Below are 11,055 nucleotides of genomic sequence, written 5' to 3' on the forward strand. Positions count from 1 at the left end.
AGTGGAAATTAGTTTGGTCATTGTGGAAAGCAGTTTAGAGATTTCTCACAGAACTAAAAACAGAACTACTTATTCAACTCAGCAATCCCATTACTGGGCATACACCCAAATAAAATAAATCATTCTACAAAAAGACACATGCACTCATATGTTCATCACAGCACTATTCACAATAGCAAAGACATGGAATCAATCTAAGTGCCTATCAATGACAGACTGAATAAAGGAAATGTAAGTACATATACACCATGGAATACTATACAGTCATAATGAAGAGCAAAGTCATATCCTTTGCAGCAACATGGATGCAGCTGGAGGTGGTCATCCTAAGTGAATTAATGCAGGAACAGAAAACCAAACACCACGTGTTCTCACTTGTAAGTAGGAGCTAAACATTGGGTACTCATGGACATAAAGATGGGAACAGTAGATACTGGGTACTACTAGAGTGGGGAGAGGGACAGGGAACAAGAGCTGAAAAACTCTACCTATTGGGTACTATGTTCACTACTTGGGTGATAAGATCATTTGTACCTCAAACCTCAGTATCACACAATATACCCATGTAATAACCTTGTACATGTACCCCCTGAATCTAAAATAAAAGCTGAAATTATTTTAAAAACCCTTTTATTTCAAAAGGTTATTACTGTCTTCACCATAAGAAGAGGACTTAAGCTCTGTTCCCAGCCCACAGTACATACTCGGCAATACTTATTAAATAAATGAATAAACATATAAATGGGTACTTATAGCTCAGGCTATAATTTTCCATCCGTAATAGTATCATATGTGAATTCTGTTTCACAAAATATTACATGAAAGTAAAGATGAAATACTCCAGAAAAATGTGTTTGATGATACTAAAATGTGTTTAGTAATGACAGAGATTGTTATAAAAAGTATATGTAAAGGGTTCAAATAAATTTTTTCAGAAAATGTAAGAATAAAAAAGCAATATTTCTAAATTAAACAACACTATGATATATATTATGCAATATTCTATGTACTTATAATACAGACGTGAACTGCATAAAAACATTTTGGTCAATGATAGACTACATTCACTCTGGCGGTCCCATGACATTATAAAGCTACATTTTTACCATACCCCTTCTATGTTTATTTCTATGTTTTGATACATAGATACCATTGTATTACAATTGCTGCAGTATTCAGTATAGTAACATGCCATATATTTTGTAGTCTAGAAGCAATAGGCTGTATCATATAGCCTAGGTGTGTAGCAGGCTATACTATTTAGGTTTGTGTAAGTATACTCTGTAATGTTTGCACCACATCAAAATCACCTAATGACACATTTCTCCAAATATGTCCCCACTGCTAAGCAATGCATGGCTGTACATGTTAATTAAACATTATTTTATTTATAATTAACATGTGTACCACAAATTAACACATCAAGCATTGTAAAAATGCATATATTCAACTTGGTCAAAAAATTATCCTTGGGAAAATTATCTTATCAGGATTACGTTATGTTCAGGCATATAAAGTATTCTTTGAGTCTACTTAACTTAGGATTATATTCATGTCAAGGCATTGTTTTAAAGAATTTTTGCTGGAAAGTCATTAAAATGTCAAAAAGAGAAAAAATTCTTTCCAGAGTCAATGAATGTCAGTCATGGAAACAACACGTATATCATCAATGCCCTATCTCCTTTTCTGTTCTCATCCCAGAAGTGAAGAGATCAGTTCTTCTTTGCAGAGCACCAGAAGCAGTAATCACTTGCAAAACAAACTAAAGTGCTAAGAAAAGAATTACCTTCCCTTCAGTACAGCTATGCAAGTAATTAAGAATGACTTCTTGGGTTTTTTAAATTAAGAACTTTTTTTTTTAGAGACGGGATCTCTGTTTTGCCCAGGCTGGAGTGCAGTGGCTTTTCTCAGGGGCAATCATAGCACACTGCTGCCTCCAACTCCTGGCCTCAAGAAATCCTCCCGCCTCAGCCTCAGCCTCAGGGATAGCTGGGACTACAGGTGGGTACCACCCAGCCCAGCTTAAAGGCTTCTTCTTAAAAGTCCTGGAGGAAAAAAAAACCTTAAAATTTGGAGGCTCGATGAAGCCCGAAAGAATGATAGTCTGTTGGTGAAACTGAGATAAAAAAGGAAGGTTTGGGAGATGGTGTGTCTGATAACTGGATCATATATTTTGAGTCTGAAGTGGTGTGGTACAACTAACGGGCCCTGAAAAGGAGTGTGTTGAGCAAGACTGAAGGTTCTCAAACTTAAAAGCACATTAGAATCAATCGCAGAACTTTTATTGATGGCAGCCCATCTCCCTTCTCCAGAAGGGGAATTCAGTGGGCCTTGGGTGAGGCAAAGGCATTTTTTAAGTGCCCTGGCTTAGGGTGGTAAATCTCTTGGACAGATACAGAAGTCAGGTTCAGTCTGTTGAGGTGGAGTAATTATTCCCAGCTTAAGTCAATGTGGTTGGTTGATAAGAAAAATGAGAGGGGGTCAGACCCAGGTTTACATTCCATTCTGCCACTTCCTGGGTGTTGGGATCTTTGACAAGGAAATTAACTTTTCTGAGACTCCCTTCCCCTATTCTGTATTATATAGATAATAATATCTCTTTTATAAGACTGATGTGAAAAGATGGAAGGCTGCTGGCTTATGTCCCCAAATATTTTTATTCTTTTTTTCTCCTGTTCCTACATTGAAGTCTTGGAAAGGTGGTTATTTTTAAGCCATTTGGATAGTTACTGATTTGTAGCATGTACTTACTTTTCTGTGAAATAAAAAAGTTAATGACCAATTATGATCTTCTGTGCTGACCATGTTGCACATTCTATTTACTGGATGCCAAGGGGGCAATGATAGCCATGGTACTGATTAATAGAGTCTTGTGACAGATGGGATTCATTTAAACTTCTAAGACAGTAATTGCTTACATTCAACTGTGGAAAGTCTACATTAAAAATCCAGATGGAACATGGAACTTACTTTCAATGTGCGTGTATAATGTATACTGGTATTAAACATGCAGACACATACATATCTCTGTGGCCTTCATATATATCTATGAAGACTCATGTGTACTTCATTTCCTTGTACACATCATAGAACTCAAAATTCTCCATTTTCCAAGTTATGCAGGCTATTTTGACAGAAAAATAATAATATTGTAACCAAGAAATAGTCTGTGAGCCTTAGTGATGAAATAAAGGATGGAAAGGAAGGAAGGAGGGAGGGAAGGAAGGGAGGGAGGGAGGGAGGAAGGAAGGAAGGAAGGGAGGGAAAGAGAGAGAAAGAGAGAAGAAAGAAAGAAAAAGAAAGAAAGAGAGAGAGAAAAGAAAAGTAAAGAGAAAAGAAAAGAAAGAGAAGAAGAGAGGGAGGGATGGAGGGAGGGAGGGAAAAATGTAAAAGAGAGAGAAAAAGAAAGAAAGCAAGAGAGAGGAAAGAAGGAAAGGAAGGAAAGAAAAAAGCCCAGTGAATTGGACCAGAAAGAAATATCTAGGGAGGCCTTTAAGGTAATTTGTGCTAATGATGTAGTTTGCAAATCTAGCTGAATTAAACATTCAATCTGCCCACTCCCATATGGAAATGTTTCTACTGACATTGTTCCCTTGGCAAACACCCATCTTCTCTTAATCATTAGAATTTATTAACTACAGTACTAGGAAAGAGAGCCAAACGCATGTGGCCACAAAAATGCCTTCTCATTGTTATTCAACTTTAAATAATAATGTACAAAATTATATAATATAATCCAATAATAATCATTATTATTGTGGTTTTCAAACTTGGCCTTCCAACTCCTCATTTTTATTTTCCCTGTCTTGAGTTCCAAAAAACCAAAGCTGAAGACAAAGTTCATATGAAATTGATTTATTAAAGGAATGCTTATGGGGGGATACTTTTTCACTGGTCTCTCCTATTTCTGTGTATGTTATAAATAGAGACACTGGCTGCATTTATTCTTAATTGTTTTTTCAACGTATTTATATAGCAGAGCCATGGAAGCTAGAGACACTGTCTTCATCCATAACAAAAGGTAGGTGTGTTTATTGTTTAGTATAGTAAAGATAACATTTTCTTCCAAGACAAAGGTTAGGCAAGTTTGCTTAGTTCTCAATATAAAAGATTGAGGTTCCCTAAACTCAAGTTTTCTCTTCTGTAATGCAACCTACCGTGTATCCAAGTGTCATCCGGCTCTCTTTGCATCACCCTGTGGATAATGCCACTTGCCATAAACTGTTCTTTGTCTCTGACACAAGAGTCTCCTTTCTTCTTCTAGCATCCATGAAACTGTGGCAGGTTAACTTATTAGCTTGCAAGTAAAAACCAATCTCAGACCTTTAAAGTCCTGACCGCTTTAGCAATAAGGATGGGGTTCTGCTAAAGACATGATTTCTGAAAGGGGAAGAATGAAGGCTTCTTGAACCAATTAAGAGAATGTGAAATACATTCAGGGGAATCTGTAGTGAATATCCTGACCAAGTTGTATGGTCAGCCAGGCAAAGAGTAGTCCTCAATTTAATACCTGGTAATGAAAATGAGGAAGGTGGTTGCAGGTCGAATCCTGGGAAGTAGGTTAAAAGACAGCTGCCAGGTGGCGCCTTTGTTGTTGCTAATTTTCCTCTGCGTGGTGAGACTTCCTTAGCAATTTAGCCGTCAGCCTCAAGTCCACCCCACTGTCACAACTAGTATAAAAATGGGCAGCAGAAATTTCCAGCACTCTACAGAAAACAGTTATAAAGATGCACCCCTACACTAAAGTGTGAAAGGAGAAAAATTCACAACCACTAAGGGAAGAAATCAGTTGACTTGTTAGAACTTTGGTATACATACTGGGAAATTCTTCCAGAAACCAGGAGGTTGTAGAAATGAGAGAATTGCTGAGTGACAGTTCTCTATGGGTCTCTCATGTTTCTCCATGTCCTGGGAGCAGAGGCATTGGTTACCAATGCTCTGGACTATCTTTTACGAAGTGTTTGTATAGTGAACAGCTTTGGAAGACAAAGAGAGTAAATCCTTTCACAACAAAGTGCTGGTTTGCTTACTTCCTGTTATAAAAGATTCAGAATCCTGAAGCTCAGAGTGTTTGTAATGGAACTGCACGTGCAGTTGTCATCTGGCCCTGTTTGAAAATAAGGGCTTGGGGAACCTATGCCAAAATAATGATACTCTGGCTACTGCTATTGCTATGTGTACAAAATTGTTCTTTGTTTCTGACACAGGAGTCTCCTGTCTTCTTCCAGCATTGATAAAACTGTGGCAGGCTAACTTAGCTTGCAACTAGGGCAACCTACCCCTGTTCACAGTCCTTGACAGTGCTCTCAGGAGAAAACTGCAGGGGAGGGAGAGAAGCAGAATGGGGAAGGGGCAAGACAGTGAGTTCAGATGGAATCTATGCTTATCTCAATCTAATGGTGGACAAGTAGAGTTTAAATTGCACTTCAGAGTTCATCCTACTAGTGGTTTGAGTGGGTCTTTTTTATCCCCCGACCCCAGACAGTCATTGGTTTTTGGCCACCCAGGAGTGATACTGGGGAGAGCACACCATCCAAGCACCGCCTAACAGGAAGGCTGCAACATCCAGGGGAAGTCCTCCAGAGACAGCTGACTTATGGATTAGCAGCAGCACCCACAACAGCCTGTGAATAGAATCCCTAGGCACCAATTGCATCAGGTACACGGATATTAATTAAATGCTCCTAATGTGGACAGCAGTGTTTTAAGGTGAGTGTAGTTCAAGCCAAGGTTGCACAATGAAAGGAAGCAATTTTGGATTAGTATGATGGCTCTAGACAAGGTCAAATCAAGGGAGAAGCAATGACCTAGTGGCTCTAGAAGCTGGCCAGCAGCCTGCCAAAAGACAGTCATATTGGCAAAAAAAGAGAAAAGCTAGAGAAACAAAGATTTGTTTTCCTGCCTATGTGTTATCCTTCTGTTCTCCCCCTTTAGAATACGGTCCTTACAAACCATGGAAGAGAAGATGTGGCCTCTCCTAATTTGGAGAGAAGGGCAAGACATATCTTTTAAAAAGAAGATTTTAAAATTACATCAAATATGAATAAATTGCTGGGGTAAACTGTAGGGCCACTTCTGTAGTACTGATTTGTTGTGTTAGACAGAAGTTTTAAAATAAAAAAGAAGACATAAAATAAAAGATGTTTTTTTAAATAGGCATTCAGAGCGAGTTTTTAAAGCTTCAGAGCTATTCCGGGATAGCACCCCACCAAAGTGATAAGTCATGCTTCTGGAACAAAATAGCATCTTTGGATTGTGGCAGCCCCACGTACCCAATGTTATGTACTTTTGTCCAAATAACTTTTGTAGAGCAAGAAACTCTCCTTAAATCACACTAGTTTCTAGTAACTGTACTTCAGCAGTTACATGAGATAAAAAAATTAAAATGTCAATAGCAAATGTCTCTGCTAAGGGTGCCTTCACAGTTGATCAGCTTGATAGTGCTGTAAAAGGCAGCCTGTGCTTTGGGCCTATTTTGGGTCAGCCATATGATCATTTGTCCACATTGGTCCAGTAAATACAACCTAGAAAAGACTACTTTCTGTGGTAGAAATGAACAAAGAGTGTGAGCAGTTAGCGCAACATCCAGAAAACTCCTTTTGTCTTGTAAATCGTAAGTTAGATTGGATAGATGTAATTGAGAAAGTTCAGACTTAATAGGACCAATCCGAGTCATAGAACTTTAGGGGACATTCTGAGCAATGACAAACCTGATGGGCATTTATTGAGTTAACTCTCTACAATCTGGTTTGGGCATTTTTTTTTTATCAGTCTGTACTACCTCTTTTCTTCATTTTTGCGGGGAACATAAGGAAAGATCGTGATAGCTTAAATAAAGTTTCTGGTAAATTTTTGAGTGAATAAAGCTACATTTTCAGAAATGTAAATATATGATGACAACTATACAACAAATAGAGAACCCAGAATTAAACTGGATTATGCAAAATAGCCTGGCAGATGCCACATTCTTTGAAAGGATCAAAAATATTTGCCTCTCTTCTATTTGGCTCAAGAGTATGTTTTATTTGGGTGTTTCACTGACTCTGCAATATTTTAAGTAGTTATTAAATACGTTTGCCATAAAAGCTTAGCGGTCTTGTCCTGTAACAGGCCCTCTTAACTCATTTGTGTTAGTTCTTGGACTCTGAGAACTATTTGGGTTTATAACCTTTGATCTGTTTTTTTCAATATCAGAATCAAATGAATAGATAGATCCTAATAAATGATTTCATATGAGTAAGGTCTGAATATGCTGAATGCTCTATGACGAAGATATTGTGACAATTGACTTCAGGAATAAAAACATGATTTCATAATAAAAATAATTATTATGGAAAAGTAACTCTCAATAATACATACATTCTTCAGAAAGTATTATAGCATTTTCTTACTTTAAAATATTACATATAGATGGAAAGATAGATATAGCATGTATTTTAAATTAACAAATACACGTAAGGTAAAAGTTCATGAAAAACCATGGAGGTCATGAGAAAGAACTTGGGCACTATCCCCATAAACCTAAGTCCCTATAGCCTTGCAAATTATACTCACTACCTGCCCCACTCCGTAAAATGTAACCACTCTTCTAAATTTTGTGACAATAACATCTCTTTTTTTATAGTTTTACCATGTGCAAATGACATTGATAAAGTAAGATTTTAGTTTTGCATGTTTCTGAACTCGTGAGATCATACTGCATATGTGACTTTGTGTCTTGTCTTTTTAACTTAGCAACATATGTGTAAAATTCATCCATGTTGATGTTTGCAGCAATAGTTTACTTGTGTACATTTTATATAAATTTTATAGATGTATCATAATTTATATATCATGTTGACATATATGGTTTTCAGTTTTGAAATAACGCTACAGGTATTTTAGTGCATATTTGCATGATATTCTTCAGGTATGTACTTAGAGTGGATTTCCTAGATCATAGCATGATTTTTCAGTCTTATTAGTTAATGCCAATCTGTTTCCAATTGGTACATGCTGGTATCAATTAACATTCCCACCAGCAGACAATGAGAATTATTGTTTACATTCTCACCAATAATGGGTTAGTCAATTTTATTTTTAATTTTTGAAAATCAGTTGAGTGTTAATTGCATAATATCTTTAAGTTTTGTAATAGAAAAATGTTTATAAGCATACATTAATATATACAGAAACATATAAATCATAGCTGAACAGTTCATGAATTATGAAAAATAGACCCAACTGTGTAGCTACCACACGGGGCAAGAAATTGAAAATTATCAGCACCTCAGAAGTCCTTTTCCTGTCCCTTTTCCCAAACACCACCCTCCCTTTCCTTCTCCCCAAAGGTAATTACTATCTGGATTTCTGACACTATCGATTTGCCTAATTTTGAATTTTATATAAATGAAGTCATGGGTGTGTGTGTGTGTGTGTGTGTGTACATATACGCATATATATAGTCTCTGGTTTTAGTCACCCAACAATATGTTTATGAGAGTCTTCCATGTTGTTGCATATAGCATTAATTTACTCTATTCTACTCCACAGTATTCTATTATTTGAATAAACCACTATGTATCGCTTTGTCTTTTGATAAGTGTTTGGCTTGTTTTTCATTTTTTGGCTTTTATAAAACACACTTCTACAAACATTTCTGTACATGTCTTTGGGTACATATCTGCATGTGTTTCTGTTGAGCATATACAGACATGGGGTAGAAATGCTGGGCCATAGAACGTGCATATGTTTACGCTCAGTGGCTAATTCCATAGAAGTTACCAATTTACACTCTCATCAGCAGAGCAAAGGCTGCCTGTGGCTCCACACCACGTCCTACACTAAGTCTTAGTTACTATATAGCCCTTTTGGTGGATATATTGTGATATCTCATTATATCGTTAATTTTAAGTTCCCTGATTACTAATGAGGTTGCACATCCCTTCACACATTTATTAGCCGTTCAAATATTCCTTTTGTGAAATATCTGTACAATTTTCATGCCCATTTTGCTACTGGGTTGTCTGTCTGTTACAGATCTGTAAAAGGTTTTATGTATTTTGGATATGAGCCCCTTTCATATATGGCTGGATTCATTTTGTTAATATTTTATGTAGAATTTTTGCATCTATGTTAATAAACAAAGCTAACCTATAAGTTTCCAATTTTTATTGTTCATTCCAAGTTTTAGAATCAAAATTATGCTAGCCTCATAAAACAAGTTGGAATATATTCTTTTTCTTATTTCTGCAGAACATTGTATAAAACTGGTGAAATTTCTTCTTTAAATGTTTGAAATGATTCACACATGAAGCCAAATGTGACTAGAGTTTTCTTTGTGGGAAATTCTAAATGATGGATTCAACTTCTTTAATAGGTACAGATTTATGCAGATTTCAGATATTCTATTAATTCTTGTGTTTATTTTGATAAGGTATGTTTTCTAGGAGTTTACATTTTATCTAAATTTTCAAACTTTTGGGAATGCATTTGTTCACAAGATGTTATAATTTTTGAGTTTATAAAAGATATTTTTTCATTACTGATACTAGTTATTTGTACTTTTTTCCATTTTTCTTGAAAAATTCCACTAGGAGTTTATCACTTGTATTATGTATGTCAAATGACAAACTTTGCTGATCCTCTGAATTCTACTTCTATTTTTCTTTCCTTCTACTTTCTTTAGACTTAACTATTGTTCTTTTACAAACTTCTTCATTTATATGCTTAGGTCATCAATTTTTAGACTTCCTTTTTTTCTAACATATGCATTTAAGGTAATAAATTTCCTTCTAAGCACAACGATCATTATATTCCAGACGAGTTAAGTATTTTTCATTACAATTCAGTTAAAATATTTTCTAATTTCCATTCTTTCTTGACCCATGGGTTATTTAGAAGTATAATCCTGATTTCCAAACATATGGAAATATTCCAATTAGCTTTATGCTATTGGTTGTTATCTTAATTGCACTGTGATTAGAGAAAATGGAACGCACTCTGTATTAAATTCTCTTAAATTTGGTAGGATTAACTTTATGGACTGCCGTATCTTTTGTAAATGCTACACATGTGTCTGAAAATAATGTTTATTTAAAAATCATGAGTGCACTCTTTTAGAGGTTTCCATTTGGTCGAGTTTGTCAACTGAAATGTTCGTATCTTCTGTATTCTTACCATAATTTTGTCAAAAACTCCCTGTTTATTAGTTACTGAGGCAGTTGTATTAAATTGTCTCACTGTGTGATATGGTTTAAATGTTTGTCCCCTCCAAATCTCATGGTGAAATGCCATTCCCAAAGTTGGAGGTGGGGCCAATGGCGGGAGATTGGATGGGGGCCAATCCTTCATGAATGACTTAGCACCTCCCCTTGGTGATGAGTTTGTTCACATGAGGGCTGATTGTTTTAAAGAGGCTGGCCTTCTCTTCTCACTCTTTTACCCCCACTCTTGCCATGTGACATGCTGCCCCCTTCACTCTACCCTCGTCACTTTCCACCATGATTGTAAGCCTCCTGGAGCCCTCACCAGAAGCCAAGCAGGTGTTGGCACATGCTTCTTGTACAGCCTGCAAAACTGTGAGCCAATTAAACCTCTTTCTTCATAAATTACCCAGTCTCAGGTATTTCTTTATAGCAATGAAAAAACAGTCTAATACACATTAATATTTGATTTTATCTACTTATTCCTTTAATGTGTGCAATTTTGCTTTACATATTTTGAGGTTATATATTATATGGATACATATTTAGGATTGTTATATCTTCCTGGTGAGTTGATCACAAAACATCTTTCTTTTTCTTTAAGAATGACTTCTCCACAAAGACTATTTGTTTGTTATTAATACACTAGCTTTTTTTCCATTACTATTTGCATGGTTTATTGTTTGTATACTTTTACCATAAGTCTTTCTGTAACCTTATGTTTTCGATGTCAGATTGTAAGCAGGAAATAACTGGATTTTTTTAAATTTGCATGGCCATCTTTGTTTTTTATAGGAGTCTCTAGTCAATGTAAATTTAATGTAATTACCAATCTATTTGGGTTTAAAGGTAGATTTCTACTCTTATTGAG

The sequence above is a fragment of the Homo sapiens genome, chromosome 13, assembly GCF_000001405.40.
Source record: "Homo sapiens chromosome 13, GRCh38.p14 Primary Assembly".
NCBI lineage: Eukaryota > Metazoa > Chordata > Mammalia > Primates > Hominidae > Homo > Homo sapiens.